Source organism: Homo sapiens, chromosome 2 (assembly GCF_000001405.40).
Source record: "Homo sapiens chromosome 2, GRCh38.p14 Primary Assembly".
NCBI classification, from domain to species: Eukaryota; Metazoa; Chordata; class Mammalia; order Primates; family Hominidae; genus Homo; species Homo sapiens.
Genome location: NC_000002.12, coordinates 187,000,035 through 187,024,933, shown reverse-complemented (window position 1 = coordinate 187,024,933; position 24,899 = coordinate 187,000,035). Strand labels below are relative to the sequence as shown.

General features: G+C 38.8%; 1 long non-coding RNA gene and 1 pseudogene across 3 annotated transcripts in view; one reads left to right on the top strand and one right to left on the bottom strand.

Moving 5' to 3' along the window:
* CALCRL-AS1 (CALCRL and TFPI antisense RNA 1) overlaps positions 1-21,661 on the bottom strand; it is a 544,253-nt gene extending 522,592 nt beyond the window's left edge. For 2 of the 3 annotated variants that reach the window (NR_187179.1, NR_187178.1), the window contains exon 1: positions 21,569-21,661. This is a non-coding gene — a long non-coding RNA (CALCRL and TFPI antisense RNA 1). Of the gene's footprint in view, positions 1-20,838; positions 21,428-21,568 lie in introns of those variants that run through there. The other variant, NR_187180.1, reaches the window with a different exon arrangement.
* Positions 21,467-23,795, top strand: IMPDH1P7 (inosine monophosphate dehydrogenase 1 pseudogene 7; annotated as a pseudogene).

Below are 24,899 nucleotides of genomic sequence, written 5' to 3'. Positions count from 1 at the left end.
TTCTATAATTTCTGTTTGGTTCTTTTCTTTTCTTTTTTTTTTGAGACAGAGTCTCATTCTGTTGCCCAGGCTGAAGTGCACTGGCGTGATCGCGGATCACTGCAACCTCCACCTCCCAGGTTCAAGTGATTCTCCTGCCTCAGGCTCCTGAGGAGCTGGAACTACAGGCATGCACCACCACACCCAGCTAATTTTTATATTTTTAGTAGAGATGGGGTTTCACCATATTGGCCAGGATGGTCTCGATCTCTTGACCTTGTTATCTGCCTGCCTCGGCTTCCCAATGTTTGGTTCTTTTTTATGAGATCTATTTCTTCAATGAATTTCTCTTTCATATCCTAAATTATTTTCTGAGTTTTTGTATAGTTTATTTGTGTTATCTTATATCTCACTGAGCTTCTTTAATACTATTATTTTGAATTTTTTTTTTTTTTTTTTTTTTTTTTGAGACGAAGTCTTGCTCCGTCACCCAGGCTGGAGATAAGTGGCATGATCTTTGCTCACTGCAACCTTCACTTCCCAGGTTCAAGCAACTCTCCTGACTCAGTCTCCCAAGTACCTGGGATATACAGGTCTGTGTCACCACGCCCGGCTAATTTTTGTATTTTTAGTAGAAATGGGATTTCACCATGTTGGCCAGGCTGGTCTCAAACTCCTGATCTCATGATCTGCCTGCTTTGGCCTCTCAAAGTGCTGGGATTACAGGCGTGAGTCACCATGCCCAGCCGTGAATTCTCTTTTAGGCATCTCAAAAATTTGTTTTTCACTGAACTCTGTTGCTAGATAATTACTTTGTCCCTCTTTAAGTGTCATGTTTTCTTGCTTTCTCATGTTTCTTGCATTTGTACATTAACATCTGTGCATCTATTGTAATGGTTACCTCTTTATATTTTTTAAATAGGTTTTCATAGGGAAATACTTTTTTCTGTAGCTGTATCTCTAGTGTTGGTTGGGTAGGACACATTAGCCTTGATCCTAGGTGCATGCAGTAGTGTACTCTCTGTATGATTTCTACTGCTGTAACCAGCATCAGTGGAGTCTGTGATTTCTTCAGTGGCTTAATCTGAGAGGTCACAGGAGGCTGTGATGAGGCCTTGAAGGGTACAGTAATGCCAGGTGGGTTAGTTCTGAGGCTCCGGTGGTGACAGTAGTAGGCCTGGCATTCCTGTCCTTAGGCCCCTGGACAGCATATACAGATAACAGTGTTAGTGGGTCTAGGTGGGCCAACTCTTGGGCTTTCACATGGCTTGTTCACGTGTCAGCAGTAGCAACAGTAGGGTAGGAAGTTTGGTGGATCCTCAGGCCCCTGGGCAGCATGTACGGCATTGGCAATGGCAGTAGCAGTGGCAGCCCAACCCTCACGTTCCCAAGTGGCATGTGCTGGTACTAGTAGTGGCAGCAACAGGCTGGGCAAGCCAGTCCCCAGATTCCTGGGAGGGGTGAACAGATGCTGATGGTAACGGGTGGAGTATGGTGATTTCAAGACCCTAAGATGATACACTTGGACACTGGATGAAGGGCCAGGTGGTGCACTTCTCTCTTTAGGCCCCTTGATAATGTATATGGGCATAGGAATGTGGTGGTAGGTGATCTCCAGGCCTCCAGTGAGCATGCTTGGGTGCCAGTGGCAAGCATTCTGGGCCTACTGTTAGATATTCTTATGGTGTATGTGCACACCCAGAGATATCAATGGGGCAGAGTGATTTCCTGGCCCCCAGGGCACCGTGCACAGTCATTGGGAAAATGGTACCAGGCAGAGTGGGCCTGTCTTCAGGCCCCCCAGTGGTACACACAGGCAAAGGCTATGGTGGGTGGTGTGAGGTGATCTCCAGGCCCCCAGACAGCATGCTGGGCACCAGCAGCAGATAGTGAGGAGTACAGAGGGAGGGGTGAGTCTTTTGTCAGACATCCTAATGGTGTATGTATGCTCCTGAGGTGACAGATGGGACAAGGCAATCTCCAGGTTCCTGGATGGCACTCTTGGAAACTGGCAGAAGTAGGACTGGGTCTTTTGTCAGGCATTCTGATGGTCCACATGTGTGCCTAGAGCAACAGATGGGACAGTGTAATCTCCAGTCACCCAGGCAGCATGCTCAAGCACTAGGACCACTGGGGGATCTCTCACTGACTTTCCCTGCATTGGAGAACCTCTATCATATCCTCGCCTGATACAGTTTGGCTCCGTGTCCCCACCCAAATCTCATCTCGAATTATAATCCCCACATGTCAAGGGAGGAAAGTGATTGAATGATGGGAGCAGTTTCCTCTCGCTGTTCTCATGACAGTCAGTGAATTCTCATGAGATCTGATGGTTTTGTTAAGTGTTTGACAGTTCCTCCTTCACAAGCTGTCTTTCTCCTGACACCTTGTGCAGACGGTGCCTGCGGCCACTTCCACCATGATTTCAAGTTCCTCCTCAGCCATGCAGAACTGTGAGTCAATTAAACCTTTTTCCTTTATAAATTATCCAGTCTCAGGAAGTTCTTCATAGCAGTGTGTAAATGGACTAATACATTGCCAATCCCAGCTGGGCCAGCTGCCTCACTTCCCTCTTCTTCTGTGTCTTAGCTGTTTCCCTTCACTTCTCTGCTGAATTTTAGTGTTCTCTCTTCAATGCTCTATTCAAAGTGTTATCATAAACTCACTGTTTTGGATATTCTTTGTGGAGGAGGCAAGCCATCTCAAAGCCTCTCCCCAAACGTTTTTAAGAATCCTTGAAATTTTTTTCCCCTTTGTACTTAAGAACTGGAGTCACTCAGGCTGATTTATTTCAGTTCTTTCTTAAGACATTACAAGAGCCACTGTCTCTTGTTTTGTAACATGAATAAGATTTTATTGAACACTCTACTATAAAGGAATTCAAAACAACCTAAAGAACTTAAATTGTTACCACATATGATTGTTCTTAGAGCTTATGGGTTGCATTTATGTCTTTTCTGTAAAGGCATTCCTTTTCTACCTTTCTGTCTACTTATGATAGATTTGACCCCTACTCACACCATACACAAAAATTAATTTGACATGGGTCATACACCTAAACTAAGTGGCTAAAGCTATAAAAAATTTTAAATATAGAATATATTTGCAAATATGGGCAGGCAAAGCCTTATGAAAAATCATAACTGTTGAAGAAAAATTATAAATTACACTTTATCAAAATTAGATATTTCTATTCAATAGAAAATACCATTAAGAAAATAAAAAGACCTATCACAAACTGGGAGAAAACATGCAATATAGATATATGACAAAGGAACTTGCCTAAAATATATTTTAGAAGCTTCTATAATTCAATAATTAAAAAGTCAAACAACCTAATTTTGTAAGTGGGTAAACCCTTAACAGACATTTCACAAAGAAAGATATATGAATGATCAATAGACATATGAAATCTGCCCAATATCATTTTTCATTGCTCGATATTTTGTCACATAGGGAAAAATATCATTATTCATTAGGGAAATGTAAATCAAAACGACAATGAGATAGTTCACATCTTCAAAGATGACTAATTTTTTTTTTTTTTTTTTTGAGACAGGATCTTAATCTGTTGCTCAGGCTGGAGTGCAGTGACACAATCATAGCTCACAGCAGCCTTGAACTCCTAGGCTCAACTATCCTCCTGCCTCAGTCTCCCAAGTAGCTAGGTTATGTGCACATGCTGCCATGCCTAACTAATTTTAAAAAATGGAGATATGGTCTTGTTATGCTTCCCAGACTGGTATCAAACTCTTGGGCTCAAGCAATCCTCCTTCCTCGGCCTCTCCAAATGCTGGGATTACCGACATGACACCTCACCAAGCCCTCAAATTTTAAAAACTTAAAATACAATTTTTGGTGAAAATGTGGGGCAACTGGAGCCCTCATATTTGGTTGAGTGATATTATAAAATAATCAATCATTTTCAGAAAATATTTAGAAATTTGTTATAAAGTTAAACATATACCTACCCAAATTATGTAGCAATTTTGCTCCTACATATTTATCGAAGAGGAATAAAAACATACTTTTGCAATAATACTTGTACAAGAATGTTTATAGAAACGATATTATTTATAACCTCAAATTGGAAACATCCTAAAGGCTCCTGCAAGTAAATGGATAAAAACATTGTGGATTCATATACTCTAGTGCTACTCAACGATAAAAAAGAGCACCTAAGGATGTAACAATAAGGTAGATGAATCTCAAAAACATTATGCTGAATAAAAGAAGATTACCACAGGAGTATACAATATATCATTATTATTATAGCCAAACTAAGCCAAAGTAAAAGAAATTAGAACTGTAGTTGCCTGGTGGGCAAGGGAAGATGTTGACTGGAAAGAGGCACGGAGATAGTTTCTTGAGTGATGGAAGTGTTCTGTATCTTGACTGGGGTGGTGGTTACACAGATGTATAAATTTGACAAAACCCATTAAACTATACTCTTAAAAATCTGTATATTTTATTGATATGTAAATTATACCTCAATAAAAGGTTTTCTTGGGGGAGGAAGCACATACGTGTCAGATAATATGGAGGTCAGTATAATGAATAAATAGTGAATAAAACAAATACAGTCTCTACTTTCATATACCAAGTTCAAGCCCATGATCAGGAGATTAAACATAGCATAAATGTGCCCATAATACAAGTTCCAGGTACACTCTTAGAGGAAAAAAAAACCTGTAGTTTAAATTCTCCCTTCTCATTATTTTCCCAATTCAAAGTGAGCCACTTCACAGGATGTTTAAAAATGTCACAATTCTGCCTTTGGAAAAACCAAGAAGTTGGGTGTGCCTTTGCCGTCTTACTCAGAGAAAATTTACATCTGAACATAATCATCTATCGGTTTATTCTAGATAATTTTGTTTTAAATAATACTATGAACAAGGTTATCAGTAGTCCTGTACACATTAAGAAATGCCAAATCCAGTCCAAATTCATTTTTATAGTTTCTCTTAAAGCATGATGTCATGAGGGTTTGACCTTCACAGAGATTTCTGTCTCAGCTCCTATTCACTTGTGGGCCACAGGTTGCCTCAGTTAATAAGTATTTGAAGTGACAAGAGTACACTTAAGTCTGGACATATTTAGAAATGCAGTGCTTTATTAAAAGATATGCAGCTAGCCAGCAGTATCTGAGTCCAAATCTAAGGATTTATCCCTGACACAAGCCATTTGTCCTACCCCTAGAGCAAGGATACCTCTAACAGTTACTTACTAGGTACTAAAAGACCCACCTAGAATATGAATACTGCTTGGGAAGACTGTGGCATAAAATCTCAGCTACAAATGGAGGTACAGCTTATCACCAGCTGTTCTGAGAAATTCCATGGTCTAGAGTTGACCTCATACTCACTTTTCTGTTTATGTCTAACCTAATGTGTTGACCAGTAGAGTGGCTGTCCATCTTCGATATATTAGCCACAAAATGGGTTTAGCTATGCAATGTAAATATTTTGTCTAAGAAATTTATATAAGCAGAGTAGTGGGGCAATAAACCTGTTTTTGCATATTGGATAATAATTGTTACAAAAATTCTATAAAGAACTTCAGCTATTCTAACTCAGACTAATTCTAACCTATCCCTCAGACTGAAAAATAACACCCTCATCTCCGCACACATAAAAAATAATTAAAAACATACAAAAATATATATTTTCCTAAAGAAACTGCCTGAAATATGCACTCAGCAAGAGTCATCAGAACTCTTAGCTTTTAAAGTAAAATATATATGTATCTGAGTTACTTCAAGATTTTCCACAAGCAATGGTTGTGTAATTCCTGTACATTTCTTTAACTGAATGGGCTCAGGAAAGTTATCCAAAGTTAAGATTTACCTGAAAGGTAAATTTAAGTTTGTACGCCCTCCATTGCTTGCAGTGTATAAAAAACAATTGTTTATGGTTTGGTTTGATTTGGTTTGGTTTCTTTTATTTTCTTCTTTTAACTTCACCTCATCAATGTTTGGCACAAAAAAAAAAAAGAAACAGGAAAAAATGAAGACCACATTTTTAGTTAGTGTACCCTATTGCTGAAAAATAAATAAATTAGATTTCCTTGAAAAACACTTAATTCTCTGCTGAGAAGTTTTCTATTTAATGAAAACTTCATTTTTAGTTTTAACATCAAAACTTTACATCAGCTGAAAAAACAGAAAAGGAAAGAAATCTTCATTATGTTTGCTTTGGATACGTTCTCTTTTTAAACAAATGGTCACTCAGTATATCAAGGGGATAAGGAATGATATTTTCTCATTTTAAATATTGTCTCTGGGGAACAGCATGTTGTATTGGAAACAATGGGACTTTGAAATGAGAAATAAATTCAAACTCTGAGTCTCCCCTTCAAGCAACTATATGTTTTTGTCAGATTCTATCACTTTTCTGGGTTTCAGGCCTCTCCTATGTTAAATCGAGATAATTATACCCAACAAAATTGCTGTGATAAAGAGACTCAAAAGAATTCTGCCTCAGACAGTAGCAAGTTTTATGATAATGAAATTTTCATTTATGGTCTACTCATGCTTTTATTTTTTATGTTTAAATTTTTAGAATTTTTTAAACCTTCAGTCCTAAAAATTTCAAATTATTATAAAGATAATAGATCAATATTTTCATTACCATCTTTAGATTTCACTGAAGACATACTTAAAGATAGTTACCTAGCTGACCCAGAATCATTCATCCTAACCCTGAATTGAACAATATTTTTATTTATAAGTTTCAAACATCTTACAATGGGGCCTTGGGCTACAAAATTCTAGGGAGAAGAGCCCTAAAATGGGAACTAAATCAATTCTTAAGAAATTAATTGAGATCAGGAAGGACCTAGAAAGACTGAATTTTATTCTTAATGATGTAGGGTTTTCGGGGGGTGTAGGGGGTTCTGTCTTGCTTTGCCACGCAATAGAGATTTAAAATAAACCTTGAAAAGTATGGAACTGGCCAACTTTCTCGAATGACTTCTCCAGGATAGATTGCAAGAATCTAGTTTGCTGAGCAAATAAGAACTGCATTTCAGGGACACTTGTACAGCAAATTTTACTGAGCAAAATGTTGAATGCAATAGAAGGTAAAAAAAAATGTAGTTCAAAAAACAATAGATTTTAAAATCTGGCAAAACTCTCTTCCCATGGAAGTTGTGCTATATGTTTACATGTAGTAACGATTATTGTAGTGCACTCTAAAAAAATTCTTAGAATTACATGCATCAAATTCAGAACACGTTAGCCCTCAGCTTCTGTGTTCTTCCTTCTGGTTTACAGAGTTCCCTAAGGCCTTAGCTCACAGTGATCTCCCTGTTTCCATAACTACCGCAACATTGATTCTGACGAACACAAACCTTTATAGTTCCTCAGATCAACAACTCAAACTAACACATGTTCCCCCTGGACCCTATTCTTATCTTTCCAAATAAGGAGATAGACGTCTTCACATTCCAATCACATAAATTTTTTAAAAATAAAAATAAACCTCTGCTGCCATAATAATCTAGTCAACAATTTAAACAAATTCATTGATTTTCAGCCTGAGGAGACAGAGAAAGAGACACAATGGCAGTGTTACCTCCTTTTACACACACATATATACCAGGGAGGAGTAAGTCAGGTTTAAAATGCTATATTTAATACTAACATTTGAAAAAGTATATCCAATAATACACTTCAAAAGGTTTGAAAAGGTATATTTAATATTAAAATTTATTTGACTTGTTTAGTTGTGGTACTTAATTTTCTTTTGCTCTTGCAAATAACATTAAAGATGAAGGGTTTGTGGGGGTTTTTTAGTGTGAAAATATTGCACTAATTCAGTACTGAAGTTATATTTTTTTTAATGGTTAAAGAAGGTAATAAGTGAAGAGACTAGGAACCAAGTTTTAGTATTTGTATTAGTCCATTTTTACACTGTTGATAAAGACATATCCGAGACTGGGCAATTTACAAAAGAAAGAGGTTTAATGGACTTACAGTTCCCTGTGGTTGTGGAGACCTCACAATCGTGGCAGAAGGTGAAAGGCAAGTCTTACATGGCAGCAGACAAGGCAGAGAGCTTGTGCAGGGAAACTCCCACTTTTAAAACCATCAGATCTCATGTGACTTATCACAAAAACAGCACAGGAAAGATCCATGATTCAATTATCTCCCACCAGGTCCCTCCCACAATTCACATGTGGGAATTACGGGAGCTACAAGATGATATTTGGGTGGGGACACAGAGCAAAACCATATGAGTATTCTATTTTCTATTTAACAGACACAAAATACATTTAAAAGTACTAATGGGATAACATCAACCTAGGCATATGGTTTTTAATCAGATTCGTCTCTTTAGAACATCTACTTATAAAATGGTGTAATAAATTTTTATACCTAATATATAAAAACTATTAAAGAAAAATTGTATAACTTTTTGAAATTGTATAACATTGTATAATGTTTTTGAAAAACATTAATCTTTGTGTATTTGGTACACAGGGAAATCAGAATGATTATATCAGTCCTATAATACAAACTGTGCCAAAATTGACTTTATCAACTCTGTATATTTGAAGGCAATTTACTCCAGATTGCTTTAATGTCATAATAATGGCAAAAGTCTAATTTCTATATTCCAGTCTCCAATGTGAAAATAAGCCACTTCAAGCTAGCTTAGTTTTCTATTTCAATTAGTTCTAGTCACGAAATAAAAATAAACCCACATTGATTCAGATTTTTATGGAATGAACTAGAAGTCTCAGTATGTTTTTTATTTTTTAGGTACAAGTTGAATGCACATAAAGAATTATTGGTGACCAAGGTCGTGGCATACAGTATTATGTTCAGCTGACCTTGGACTGGTAAACAGTGTTGGTTGAGTGTTTAATACCTAGGAAGATGTAAGTGTGGAAAGCAAAATTTAAAATTGCCTGTGTTAGCAGTGTCTGGGAGCTCAACTTACATCACTTGGGCCATGAGTCTCTTCATTTCTTGAGTCCACTTTCCTTTGTATTAGCCTCATTTTCAGATTCTGAATAGTGACCCCTGACAGCTCCAGGTTTACACTATTCTTAATGACAGCAACCCCAGGGGAACAGGGAACCCCTATTTTCAGTTGCACAAGGAAGTCCTGAGATTAGCTCTGGTTGGACTGACTTGGGTCACATGTGCCTCACTGAACGAATCATTGCAGCTAGGGAAGTGGATTCTGCTGAACAGTCAGGCCTCAGTCATGTGTCCACCACTGGAAGTTTTTTAAGTTAGTGTTTGCATAATATATCTTTTGTCCAAACACAAAAACAAAAACCAAAAAAACACAAAACTGCCTGTGTTTTACCTCATTAATTAAAATTAAAAATCTTTAATCTAAATTTTTCATGTCAATGCAAATTTTTAAAATCTTAAGTCTATTTAAAATAAAAATGGCAAAATTTACTCTATCATTTAAAAAAATAGCTGATTTTTTAAAACGATTCAAACTTCTGATAAGTCAAACAAACACTATTATGGGTTTAACTGTGTCTTTCAGAAATTCATATGTTGAAGAAATTCCCAGCACCTCAGAATGCAAAATTATTTGGACGTAGGGTCACTGCAGACACACTTAGTTAAAGTAAGATTATATAGGAGTGGGTGGGTTTCTAATCCAATTTGACTGATGTGTCTTTATAAAACTGGAAAATTTGGACACAGGAACACATACAGAAATAATAACGTGTGAAGAAGGAGGCAGAGATCAAGGTGATGCTTCTTCAAGTCAAGGGACAAGACTAAAGATTGCCAGAAAACCACCAGAAGCCTGGAGAAGGGCATGGGACAGAGTCTCCATGAGAGCCCTCAGAAGGAACCAACCTGGCCAACAACTTGACTGCAGACTTCTAGACTCCAGAACTGTGAAACAATCCATTTCTGTTGTTTAAGCCTTCCGTCTGTGGTCCTTTATTACAGCAACTTAGAAAACTAATACAAATGCCTAACTAGCAAATTACTGCTAGGTGTTTAAGCAACTTTCGTAAATTGAATGAACCAAATATAAATGTAAATCAGTTTTTCTTAAATATACAAATAAAATTCTCCTACACATTTCAAATTAAAATTTTGACAGAGCCAATATGTCTGTGTTTCTGATCTTTTACACTCTGTCAAATAGTTCATATATCTTAATCAGTATAGATTCTCATTATCATGATTATTTTAAATGTTTAAAAACCAAAATATTGGGCCGGGTACAGTGGCTCACACCTGTAATACCAGCACTTTGGAAGGCCAAGGCAGGCAAATCACAAGGTCAGGAGATTGAGACCATCCTGGCCAACATGGTGAAACCCCATCTCTACTAAAAATACAAAAATTAGCTGGGCATGGTGATTCCAGCTGTAATTCCAGCTACTCAGGAGGCTAAGGCAGGAGAATCGCCTGAACCAGGGAGTCGGAGTTTGCAGGGAGCCGGGATCATGCCACAGCACTCTAGCCTGGTGACAGAAAGAGACTTTGTCCAAAAAAAAAAAAAAAACCCAAAATATTGATTTTATGAGATTATTCTACTTCATCAAATATTTACTTTTTTTCCCTAAATTTAAGTATTTATGCTTACCTGACCAAAAAGAATGTTTTAATTTGATCTGCTATAAGAAAATACCTAAGAACAGGTATGTTATAAATAATGGAAATTTATTTTTCGCAGTTCTGAAGGCTGGGAAATTTAATAACAAGGCATGAGCAGGTTTGTTGTCTAGTGAGGGCTCAGTCTCTCCTTCCAAGATGGAGCCATGAACACTACGTCCTCACATGGCAGAAGGGATGAAAGGGCAGAAAAGGGATTGAGTTAGTTCCCTTCAGCCCTTTTAAAAAACATTAATCCATTCATGAGGGTGGAGCCCTTATGACCTAATCATCTCCTAAAGGCCACACCTCTTAATACTGCTGTATTGGGGATTAAGCTTCAACATGACTTTTGGAGGGGACACAAACATTCTAACCATAGTCAGGAGTATATTTGTTACCTCAGATCAGTTATTGTTATTATGATCTTTTTTCATAACATTTAATTATCTGAGTTGATGAGATTATGTACCCCCAACCCAGGGTTGTAAATAAACATTTCACTGCTTGTTGAGTTCTGTATCTTTACTTTTCCCTTAGCTGTTATTCTATTCTTCAGCCTTCAGCCACTATTCTACATTAACTTTATTGACAACAGAGTCCTATCTGATAAGGTATGCGGTTTGCAGGAATCAGTTTGTTATCAGATGGGTTTGGGAGGATGCTCATGAGGATACGTTTACACCACCTATCCCACTCCCAGACAGCTGAACACATACTCAATCAGTTGACTGAATCCTAACCCACTAAGTGGGCCTGACCCCATCCATTGACTGTGAAAAATCACAGAAGTAAGCAAGACTCAGCTTCTCCCTTCCCAAATATTCTCATCCTGAGTCAGACATGGGTTCATTTTCAAGTCTCAATCCAGAACAATAATAATAAAAATACAGAGGCATTATCTCCAACAGAGGAACGGTGATCAAGGGAAAGAGAAGGGTGAGCTGATAAATAAGACATAAGGACATGAGGAATCAATCATATGGGGACCTGTAGGCCAGTGTGAGGATGTGGATTTGGAGTGGAGCCAGCAAGTGAAGCCACCGAAGGGCTTAGACTGAGGAGCGAAGTGGTCTGACTTACAGTTTTAAAAGATGATTCTGCTCTACTGCCCTGCACTAAGTCAGCTAGACAGTCAGCAAAGGATGCATACTAGAGATGAGTAATTGTCACTGCAGAGAGTTACAGAATTCTGCAAGGATCTAACTGTTCCACAGGCTGAGGCTGGAACAAAATTTGAAACTGAGAAAGGCATGAGGGGAACTCAAGAAGTGTCTGAGATATTAGTTTATTTTACAACCGTATATTTGAAACACCCCCAATACATGTAATGGTTATTAAACACTGACCCTTCACTCTAAAAATAGCGTCTGTCTGTAGGGTTCACCTGTTTAGATATAAATTTTATTAGGAAGATCTCGAGTAGCAGTTTGGAGTGTGAAAAATTTTGACGACAAGGAAACTAAAATTATTAAGGCTTACACTAAGGCAATGGCAGAAAATAGAAAGGGGTAAAGATCCGAAGTTTCTTCAGAAGATAAAATTGATAAGCTGGAGAACAATTGCACATAGGAGAGACACAGCATATCTTAGGATAGTGTTTCTCAGACGACATTTTTACTGTAAAAAGAAATGCATTCTATATCAAAAGACCTTCCCTCTCCTGAGCCTCCCCATACACAAACATACTCTCTAATCAACAAAGTTTTACAAAATAATACATATCTTTGCTTAGTATTATTGCAATTTGTACCGTTGTATTTGCAATGGTCTCTAATTTTTTATATTCCATTGTTTCTATTTTAAAATACTGTCTGCGTAAATTGATTATATCACCACAGTTTGAAAAGCATTGATTTATGGTCACTCTAGCTTTCCAGCTTGGCAACAGAGAAATACTGATGAATAGATCATCAAGATGAGCAATACCAAAGAAGAAAGGAAGAGAATGTTTGCAAGCTAAGAGTCGGCATTGGATATATTAGGGAGTTTCACATATAATACTTCATTTAATGTTTATAAGCACCTAATTAGGAAATTGTTATTCCGATTTTAAAGATGAAAAAATAAGGCTCATAAAAAATAGTTTTCAAAAATAGTACAGGCAGAAAATACAACTTAAAATAACTTTTTATATTCCCCCTATTAAGATTAAATATTTTGCCAGGATCTCTTTTAACTAATATGAACTTCGCTTTATTTCTGAAAAGCTAAAACTACAGGTAAGTACTGTTATTAAACTTCTGGCTGTATCCACAGTCTATTTTCAGTAGTGCTTTGTATATTTAGTTTATAAAATAAATTCTCTTTCTTTTCTTTCTTTGTGTAACAACCACTCTTCATATGGAAATAATAAACCAAATTGTAAACCTGGTTGTCCTGTGGTTGAGAGGAGAGTAAGAGACCTTAACTGTTTTTTCTCTGCATTTTACTTTTTCATAAAATTTTTAAACTGTAAGAGACTGTAGAGATCATCTAGTGAAGACATCCAACTCCTTTATTTCACAGATGAAAAAACTGATCTCATCTATTTATTGGCAGAACTGGGTGTGTAGGAAACCCAAGTAAATCATGTGTCTGCCATTTAAAATTTTTAATTATTCAACTCCCCTCTGCAAACATTCTAGTTGCCCAGTTGCTCTTTCCAGAAAAAATTATCTCCCAAGTGTCCAGATCACACAATAGAACACAAAGAAAGATTTAAGCACAAGGCAGAGGAAAGGGTGGAGTTGTTAACATCCTCCTTCTTCCTACAGTGGGTTCAAAGCTTTCTTTTTTTTCACTCCTACTTCAGTACACACAGATTGAATTATCCATGTGTGGAAGCCACACTATTTTATGTCCAGGTCCTACAGAAATTAGAAAATTGTTTCTCTCTTACTATGTTGATGATTAATAGCCAGCATACCAAGGACTCACTTTCCGCTTCACTTTTCTGTTTTCTTGTCCCTTCCAACTCTGTAAAACAGCCTTATACATGCTACTACATGTTCCTGTTCCTTACAGCTGTTTCACCAGGACATCCTTCTGGACACAGGGCTTCCTCTTGTCTCTTTGTCATGGAAGGGTGGAAAGCTACAGGGAGAGGGTCACATAGAGGGATTCAGTCTAGGCGTTAGTAATTGCTTGTGTACTTCGAATCCCAAATATGGGCAACTGTTTTCCAGTCAGTGCCGTAAATGGAGTTCAATTATTTTTGGCATTAAAAAAACTGTCCTAGACATGGTTCTGATGCAAGCCCGGATGAACAGGGAGCATAGCCCCTTAATTGGGGGGCGCTGGGCCTGCATGGGACAGAGAGAGGAGTGTGTGCAGAGAGGGGAGTGTGCAGAGAGGGGAGTGTGCAGAAAAGGGTGTGTGCAGAGAGGGGAAGGGGATGCCATTCATACTAGGAGGCTGAGATAAGAGTGGAAAGGGCAGCTTTGTTCAGAAGCACCGAGTGGGGCTGAATGAGCATGTGACCCAACCACGTATGGAGATGGTCTGTTCACCAATCTTACAGCAATTTAAACTCTTTGTTTCTGTGAGACAGGGTCTCAATCTCTCACTCTGGCTGGAGTGCAGTGGCATAATCATAACTCACTGAAGCCTCAAACTCCTGGGCTCAAGCATTCCTCCTACCTCAGCTTCCAGAATAGCTGTAAACTCTTGAAATAAAGCCAGGGCAGCCCTAGGGCTGTGTTGATGCCCAATCTCCCTCTTGGCCTTTACAGGAAAGAAGCAGGTGTAAAAGATATGGGGCAGGCCTAACAGAGACCTCATAAGTATTTAACCCTTATCAAAATCAGAAGTGTCCACTTAAATATGGTTACCTGGGTTACAGGTTGCATTAAGACGTGCATTTGAGATCTCAGACCCATTAAATGTGACAGAAACTCTCCTTGACCAAACTTTAGTCAGGCTTCTCTGAGGCCTCTTGTCAACTAAGCCTTCCCAGCCCAGTCTTAGCAAGAAATTCTGCTGTCATCCTCCCACCCTGATCGCCGTCTAAATGTGGTTAAATTCCTTATTCCCTATCCTTGCTATCTTATCATCTTAGCCTGCCTTTGCCAAGAATCCTGTTAAGGCAATTCAACAAGAATCTCCCTAACTTTAATGTCACCTCTTAGTAATTTTTTCATCCACTGACCCCTTAACTCTGCTCCTTGGCCCTAAATCCCCTCTTGTCCTCGTTGTATTCAGAGTTGAGCCTGTGAAAGTTGCCAGTATCAAAATGGAGTGACTCATGTCAAAACCCTAACAAAATGGAGGCAGGAAGCATAAGGAGGAGCTATTATGCACACATGACTGTAACAGGACTTATCACATGGCATTCCTCAAGACCAGTGTTCCAGATTAGCCATCTGCACAAGAATACTTACCTGGCAAGGTTGTTTCTACCCATGAACAAACACCAACTCCTATAATGAGTTTCAGTGACCTATGCACCTTTTTTCAAGGCTGCTTACATAGTCATCTTTACATGAGACGAAGAAGTTCCTACCCCAGGGGTATACCTATGATGCATCATAGGCTGCATATCCTAGATTGCAACACCCTGCATATTCCCAAATAAGCTCATTTGTCCTGTGGGAAGAAAAACTGTCATAGGTGTTTGCAAAAGTTTGTATACCTAGAATATGTTACAATAGTTGGAAAAATCTAATACTGATGATGACTAATTTCAACTGGCTAATAGCCAACTATATTAGGGTTCTCTAGAAAAAAAACTGAACTAATAAAATGAAGAAGGGGGAAGGGATTGAGAGAGGTGTCTATGTATCTAGATATAGATAGATAGATAGATAGATAGATAGATAGATAGATAGATAGATAGAGATAGGTGATAGAAAGATGATAGATAGATAAGATAGGATAAATAGCTATCTAGATATCTTTATAGATATATTCATGTCTATAGATAGAGATAGAGAGGCAGAGAAAGAGGCAGAGAAATTGATTGATTTTAAGGAATTGTAACATGCAATTGTGAGGGCTGGCACGTACAAACTACATAGGCCAGGCCAGCACGTATAGTCGAATGAGAGTTGCTGTTGCAGTCCTGAGTCCAAGTTCCACAGGACCACAGGCTGGAAACCCAGGCAGGATTTCTATATTATAGAGAAGAATTCCTTCTTTGGAAAATCACTGTCTTTGTTCTTAAGGCCTCAACTAATGGGATGAGGCCCACCCACATTTTGGAGGGTAATCTGCTGTACCCAAAGTCTATTAATTAGCTATCAATCACATCTAAAAACCACCTTCACAAAAATGTCTAGATTGGTGTTTGACCACATAATGGGACACTACAGCCTAACCAAGTTGACACATAAAATTAATCACTGCACCAGCTAACCCTAACTTTGCTTCTCACAACCAGAGGAATTATTTAATATTGTCATATAATGAAATTATATTACTTTTTAAAGTCATTGCTTCAGGTTGACATACAAAACCATTTCAACTTTTTAAATTGATCTGAATTGCTAATATGTGCCTAATTTTTATAAATAATCCCTTAATTTTATTTAAAATGCAACAAAAATTGATGGGAAAAAAACTGTGTGTGTATGCATGTGTGGTATTAGGGGTGGGAGGAAGAGATTACCTGGCAAAAACTACAATTTTATTCTGTAGTACTAGTCAATGCAATTTAGCACTAAATTTTTAAAACTCTCAAAATCAAACATATACAGAGAAACTAGAAAAATCCAAAGATTTAAATCCAGCACCAATATGTTCCCTGGGTTATATACCTTAAATTATACCAGATAAACTAATTCTGGAAGAGAAAGCAACACTATTCCCTATGACTATATGCTAGCATATGGCTTTCAAGGAAACAAAGAACAGCAGTTTCACCAAACTTTACTTTGCCAGCACTTTCCCCCCTTTTCCAGAGGAGAAAAGAAGTATAAAAAATAATAGCAAAATATGTCAATTTCTATAAAAGGCTCATAGTTACATGAGTTTGTGTGGATAATCTTGTGGTTACTTAAAATAATAATAATAATTAGTCATAGCAGTATCCTCTCTCCCTCTTGACTTTGACTTCTCTAGCTTACACATTCCCTCTGTGAGGCTCAGCTCAAGTTCACATGTAAAGTCAGCAGAAATGTGAAGCTCTGCTGCTCAACACTACAGCCAATACAGCTGTGCATCACTCAGCACAGAAAACAAAGTGGTTGTATCTTCTTTTGTTAATTAATTTTTACATTTTTTCTTCTTTATTATGAAATCTTTCAAACACTTAAAAATAAGTTTGTACCTAACACTCAGATCTAAAAAATGTTAAATTTTTAACTGTTTCAGAAACTTTTGGGAAAAAAAAAGAAAAATGACAGATACAGAGAAAACCCCTCTCACTTCCTTCTCTAGTCCTTTTACCTGAATTACTCATTCCCTTCTACCTGACACCCTCCGTTTCCAGACATGATTAATATCTCGATAGAATATATATCCTTCCTATGTTGATTTTTATTGCTCTTAACCACATAAAATTTTGCCAGCAAAATTATAGGAATCATTTTACATTATTTTTAATTTTGTATGAATACATATTTGCAGCTCAATTATGTATGTATGTATGTATTTATTTATTTATTTATTTTGAGACCGAGTCTTGCTCTGTCGCCCAGGCTGGAGTGCAGTGGCATGAACTCAGCTCACTGCAACCTCCGCCTCCTGGGTTCAAGCGATTCTTCCGCCTCAGCCTCCTGAGTATAGCTGGGACTACAGGCACACGCCACCACTCAGGGCGAATTTTTGTATTTTTAGTAGAGACGGGGTTTCACCATATTGGCCAGGTTGGTCTAGATCTCCTGACCTCCTGATCCACCCACCTTGGCCTCCCAAAGTGCTGGGATTACAGTCGTGAGCCACTGCGCTCGGCCCAATTATTTATTTATTATTTATTTATTTATCTGAGACAGTCTCTTACTCTGGCACGCAGGCAGAAATGTAGTAGAGCAATCTCAGCTCACTGCAACCTCCCCCTCTCAGACTGAAGTGATCCTCCCACCTCAGCCTTTCAAGTTGCTGGGACTACAGGGGTGCGCCACCCTGCCCAGCTAATTTTTGGAGAGATGGGGTTTTGCCATGTTGCCCAGGCTGGTCTTGAACTCCTAAGCTCAAGCGATCCACCTGCCTTGGCCTCCTAAAGTGCTGGGATTACAGGTGTGAGCCACCATGCCTGGCAATTAATTTTTAATTTAACCTTATGGTTTCAAAATGTACCAAAGATGATTCATGTAGATCTAGTTCATTTAATTTAACTGCCAGATGGTAGTCTACTAAATATATGATAAATTACTTGTTTCTTTCTTGATAAATATTTAGATGGTATCCCACTTTTTTCTTTTAACAACAGTGCTACAAGGAATAATCTTGTACATGTTTTCTTATGCACATAAAAAACAGTAGAGCATCCACCTAGAAATGGAATTTCTGGGATATCTACTATACTCACAGTCCACTTTCCTTGATATTATCTAAGTGTTTTTCCAAAGTAGTTGACTCATTTACACAGCCACTGAGAGCATATGAGAGCTTGTTTCTCCACACCTCCAAAAGCTAAGTATTGTCGACGTTTTAGTTGTCAGAGGTCTGCCAGTGGTGACTGTGAAATGGTATTCCATTTTCAAATCCATTAGCATGCTCCCTCAACTATTCAGATTAAAGATCTTTTCAGCTGTCTATCTTTCCAGCTTCTTTTTTAAATAGAATCTTCAGTTTGTTTGATTTACCCAATTTTCAGTTAGGTAATTTGTCTTATGCTTATATTCATTTTCAGAAGACTTTTTTACTATAGTAAGATACCAATATTTTGTTGTTACAAACGTCATAAATTGCTTTTCTTCAATTATTATTTTTTATTAACTTTCTTCAATGTCTCCTGTATTACAGAGCCTTACATTTTAATAAGGTCAAGGTTATCAATAATTTTCTTTAAACTTTTGTGCTTATTATCATCCTCTTTAAAATATGTGATTCTCCTATATTTCCTTCCAAAATCTTTATAAATTTTTTCTCATATTGGGGTCTTTAATCTATCTGGAATTTATTTTAATGTGTTATGAATTGCAAATTTTTAATAAGGATAATTAATTTTACCTGGAACCATTTATTTAAAACTTTGTTATTTCACAACCAATTAATAATGCCTGAACTGAGTTCTTACATATGCATAAGTCTTTGTCTGGGTTCTTTGTTCCTTTCCATTAGTTGGTTTGTCTAGCCTGTACAAATAGTAAGACAGCTGAATACTTACACTTTTACAGTTTCTCCTCATATCTGCAAAGAATGTCTTCTCCTTTCTCACTAAAAAAAAGGCTTAGATATTCCTGATCCTTTCACATTCCAAAGAAATTTTAGAGTTAGTTTAACTGATACTATATAGGGTTTGTAAATTAATTGGAGGAGAATTTATTTCCTAACAGTATTAACTTTTCCCATCAATTAATATCCAGTTTTTTGGCATTCTCTCATATCCTTCAGTAAATATTCAGGTACCTTTTAGTTTTTGTACCTCTTATGAATTTGATCTTAGTTTCTGTAACAGTTTAAGCATATAGGGAATAAATAAGAATGTCAATGATTTTTATATATTCATTCTATATCCAGGAACATGCTGACCTCTTATTAGTGCCAATAATTCATTTATAAGCCATCTCAGATTTTATATATACATAATTACATCATATGCAAATAATGAAATTTAGTTTCTCCCATGCCAATTCTCATTCTTCTTACTTGTTATCCTTGTCTTACTGCATTAATTACGAACTCCTATAAAATTCTTGCATAGCTCCCTACTTTAATGGAGATCTTGTAAGGTTTCACCATTAATAGTATTTGCTACAGGTTTAGATACACTTTGGTAAGTGAGCAAGTACCTTCCTTTTCCCAGTTTGTGAAAAGTTTTCATTACAAATGGGTGCTGCATTTATTGCATGAGTTTTCTGAATCTACTGAATCAATCATAAACTTTTTCTCTTTTAATCTGTTAACATAGTAATATATTAAGATTAACAAAATTTTTAATATTAAGTCATCCTTGAAATCCTAGAATACATATTATTTGGCCATGATGCATTTTTAATATTTTGCTGAATCTAGTTAGCTAATGTGTTACTTAGTATCTTTACATCTATATTAAGTAATACTGGTCTAAAGAATTTCTTTTAAGCACTAACCTTTTCTGGTTTTGGTACCATAATAATAAGAAGAAAAGAATAGCTAACACTTATTTTGCACTTACTATATGTCAGTCAGTGCTCTTAGCATATCTCTTTTGTTTTTGCCATTTAATCATCACAGTTCTATGTGGTAGGTACTCTGGTCATTATCCTAATTAAGCCAGTGAGAGTGTTAAGCATTTACCTAGGAATACAGTTAGTAAGTGTCTGACCAGGAACACATTATCTGTTCTCTAGAAAAATTTAAAAGTTAATAGTTACGTATTGCCTGATAGTTTGATAAAAGCATGTCAATAACTAGGACTCCTTTTTATTTTCCCAACTGATTGCATTTCCCTAATGGATGTAAGTGTATTCAGTTTTAAAATATCTTCCTGGATCGATTTTAATAAGGTTTAATTCTCTAGGAAATATTCCATTACATCTATATTTTTATATTAAATATTAATACATAATTTACTATTCAATAATTTAATATGAAAATGTAGACTATTTTTGGTTTTTCTTGATTAATGTTGTTAGAGGTTTGTGTAAGTTTTTTATCTTTTCTAAAAAACAAACTTTATTCTATGCTGAATCTCCCTATTGTGGCTTGGTTTTCTAAATTCCTTTATTTCTGTTATTATTACTTCTTTCTACCTTCTTAAGATTTACTATTTTTCTAACTTCTTCACTTAATCATTGCTCAGTTAAATATTTAGCTAATAATTTTCCAATTGTTTTGTCCTAGTACAGACATTTAAGGTTAACATTTTTCCTGTGAGTATACTTTTTGTTGTAGTCTATCAGTTGTGCTTCTCTTGTTTTTCAGATCTAAATAGTTTATAAATTGCAATCTGATTTCTGCTTTAAGCTATAAAATATTCGGAAAAGCACATTTTGGCATTCTTTACTAATTTTATTGCAATGTTTTCAGAGAACATGTTTTGTGTGTTACCAACTCTTAGAGACTTTCTTTGTGGCCAAGTACATGAACAATTTAAAAATATATCCTATGGATGGACTTCAGGTGCCAGCCAAGATGAAGTAAGCCTGCTAGAATCTTTCTCTTTCACTCATTACAATTAAAAATTCAGGACAAAATACTAAAACACTTACCTGAGGATGATTCCGAAACAAAATAATAGCAAGGAGGTTGAGGAGCGACATCAAAACTCAAAAAATGACCAGTATGCCAATAGTGAGTTTCCTAGGATATTTTCCTTCAAGATCATCTGGTCTTGGCTTAAGGATGGGCCAAATCAGGGAACAATGTGATGGGAACAGACAGCAAAAACTTTGAGAAAACCCTGGTTTTCTGTCAGAGTACTAAGAAACTGGGACCCTGAGAGGTGGAAAGTGGAGGTTGAAGGTGAAATCCCAATGTGTTTTTCTCTCCCTCTGCCCCAAGGCCAGCTTCATTGACCAGCTTCAGTGCATGTAGAGGCAGCAGCATGAATGTAAGCCCTAGAAATCCATCTTTCTGGACAGAGGAACCAGGAAAATGGGCCTCTAGGGGCCTCTGTGTGTAAAGACTGTGGAAGGAATTCCCATTTTTATTTTCAGTCTTTTCTTTCATTACTTCATCCCCCGGGTATATCCAATAACACAGAACTGTGCAACTGTGTGGAAAACTTAGAAGACTCCTGGCCAGAGGGACTGGGAAAAGAGGACCCTGAGAGACAGACTCTGAGAGAGAAAATTATTTAAAAAGAAAAAAAAAAAGAGAGAGAGAGAGAGAAGCGGCCCCGCCCGGCTCGCAGCGGCAGCATGGCCGCAGCGCGGGGGCAGCAGCAGCAGGCGGCTGCGCGCGGATGTCGCAGGGTTTCGCGGCAGCATGACGGACTACCTGATCAGGGGCGGCACCGACTATGTGCCCGATAACTGGCTCCCCGCGCAGCAGCTCTTTGCCAGCGCCGACTGCCTCACCTACGACGACTTCCTGATTCTCCCAGGATTCACAGACTTCATAGCTGATGAGGCGGACCTGACCTCAGCCCTGACCCGGAAGATCACGCTGAAGACTCCGCTCATTTCCTCCCCCACGGACACTGTGACAGGCCGACATAGCCATTGCAATGGCTCTGATGGGAGGTATTGGTTTCATTCACCACAACTGCACCCCAGAGTTCCAGGCCAAGGAGGTGCGGAAGGTCAAGAAGTTTGAACAGGGCTTCATCACGGACCCGGTGGTGCTGACCCCCTCGCACACTGTGGGTGATGTGTTGGAGGCCAAGATGCGGCATGGCTTCTCTGGCATCCCCATCACTGAGACGGGCACCATAGGCAGCAAGCTGGTGGGCATCGTCACCTCCAGAGACATCAACTTTCTTGCTGAGGAGGACCACACCACCCTCCTCAGTGTTGGCTCCAGCAGGCCTGATGTTGAAAGAGGCAAATGAGATCCTGCAGCATAGCAAGAAAGGGAAGCTGTCTTTCGTCAATGATCCGATGAGCTGGTGGCCATGATCACCTGCACCGACCTGAAGAAGAACAGAGACTACCCTCTGGCCTCCAAGGATTCCCACAAGCAGCTACTGCGTGGGGCAGCTGTGGGCACCCCTGAGGATGACAAATACCGCCTGGACTTGCTCACCCAGGCGGGGGTAGACGTCGTAGTCTTGGACTTGTCCCAAGGGAACTCGGTGTATCAGATTGCCACGGTGCATTACATCAAACAGAAGTACCCCCACCTCCAGGTGATTGGGATGACAGCCGCCCAGGCCAAAAACCTGATTGACGCTGCGGTGGACGGGCTGCGCATAGGTATGGGCTGCGGCTCCATCTGCATCACCCAGGAAGTGATGGCCTGCGGTGGGCCCCAGGGCACTGCATTGTACAAGGTGGCCGAGTATGCCCTGTGCTTTGGTGTGTCCATCATAGCCGATGGCGGCATCTAGACCGTGGGGCACGTGGTTAAGGCCCTGGCCCTTGGAGCCTCCACAGTGATGATGGGCTCCCTGCTGGCCACCACCACGTAGGACCCCGGCGAGTATTTCTTCTCAGATGGGGTGCGGCTCAAGAAGTACCAGGGCATGGGCTCACTGGATGCCATGGAGAAGAGCAGCAGCAGCCAGAAATGATACGTCAGCAAGGGGAATAAGGTGAAGATCGCGCAGGGTGTCTTGGGCTCCATCCAGGACAAAGGATCCATTCATAAGTTCGTGTCCTACCTCATAGCGGGCATCCAGCCTGGCTGCCAGGATATTGGGCCGCAGCCTGTCTGTCCTTCAGTCCATGATGTACTCAGGAGAACTGAATTTTGAGAAGCAAACCATGTCGGCCCAGATCAAGGGTGGCGTCCATGGCCTGCACTCTTAGGAGAAGCGGCTGTACTGAGGACAGCAGTGGAGGCCAAGGTGGTGGAAGGGGCATACCGCAGTGTCCACTTTCAGGCACAGCCTCCCTCCATAACTGAGTGGTCCACAGACTTGCACTATAGGTTCCCCAGCTCCTTTCCAGGGAGAAAGGAGGGGAAGTTCTGAGGGGTCTGCAGCCTCTTGCTGGGCATCGCCTGCAGAATCAGAACTGCTCCCTGGGCCAGAGTGCCCTGGGAACCCCCCAACACACACACACCAGCCCAGCCAGCCAGGCTCTCAGGCCCTGCGCATGCCTCAGGTCTTTCTTGCTGCAGCCTGCTCCAGCCCGGCCCCCACCACAGGGACAAGAGGCCCCTCCTGGCTTCTCCTGTAGGGCACCTCCCTGCCCCCAGCCCCCGAGGAAATGGTGCTCTCCTGGCCCTGCCTCTGGCACTTCCTGGGCCACTAACCCCTCAGCCATGTGGCACTTCTGAGCTCTTGACCTAGGCCAACGGGAGGTCTCTGCCCACTTCCCCGGCCCTGGGCTACCCTTGGGTCCTGCTCCTCAGGCCACTCCCCTGTCCCTGGCCCTGGGAAGGAGGCTTCCCTGATCATGGCCACCTTCCCGTCATTCCTGACTCACCACCGTCCCCAGGTATATCATTCCTGCCCTCTCCTCAGCTGCAGTTGAAGGCTCACTTTGCACAGTTTGGGATCACAATTGTATAATTGTGTATTAAATAATCGGAATAAATCAAGCAGGTCTCAACACCTCCAAAAGAAATAATAAAAATAAAAAATAAATAAATAAATAAGAAGTGAAGAAGAAAATTCCCTGGTGTACCCCCAAACTCTGCCTGAATGGAACACATCCAAAGCAGCATAGCAAAAGCTTTAAGAATTGTCTGTGAATCAGCTCCAAAGTCTTATACTAATCCCTGACTGTTTCAGATAACAATAAAGACTTTAAACCCTGAACTGACATTCGAACTAGCACCAGTGGAAGGCAAGATAGAACTCATGGTCTGAACCCAACTGGATTTATTAGTAAACAAAAAAACTTCAGAAGATTTTAACAAGATGCAGACTCTCACAACACATTACTCAAAACTTTGAAGATGCAATGCAAAATTGCTCAACATACAAATAATAAAAAAAAAATTGGACCTGTTTTCCACTGAAACAACAATCAACAAATGTCAAATCTAAGATGATCCAGATGTTGGAAAAAAGACTTTATTGTAGCTATGATAACCATGCTCCATGAGGCAAAGGTGAACGCTCTTGAAATTAATGGAAATAAAGACGTTCTTAACAGAGCAATAGAAACTACTGGAAAAAGAAAAGGGAAAAACTGGACATTTAAAAAGTAAAAAATACAACACAACACTTGAAATTTTAAAATTTCCTAGACAGGTTCAATAAGGAATAGAGATGACAGAGGAAAAAGTCAGTAAACTTAAAAATTGATCAATAAAAATTATCTAGTCTAAATAACAGAGAGAAAAGATTGAAAATGAAAATGGCCAGAGCCTCTAGGGCCTGTAGATAATATAATAACAAGATTCAAAAAATCTAGTAGTGGTGTCATTGGCATCTATGAAGTAAAGGGAAAAACTGATTGGTGAAGAAAAATATTTGAAGATATAGTGGATGAAAAACTTCCTCCAAGTTCAGTGAAAAATATAAATTTACAGAAAAAATTCAAGAAGTTCAGAAAAATAGTTTAAACCCAAACAAGACTTAAGGGAAATTATAACAAAGGGAAACTTGTAACCTTAAGAATGAGGATAAAGCAAAAGAAATGCTTGGGTATCTGAATAAATATAATTTAATGTTTTTCTCCTCTCAGTTTATAAAAATATATATGACTTTTGAAAT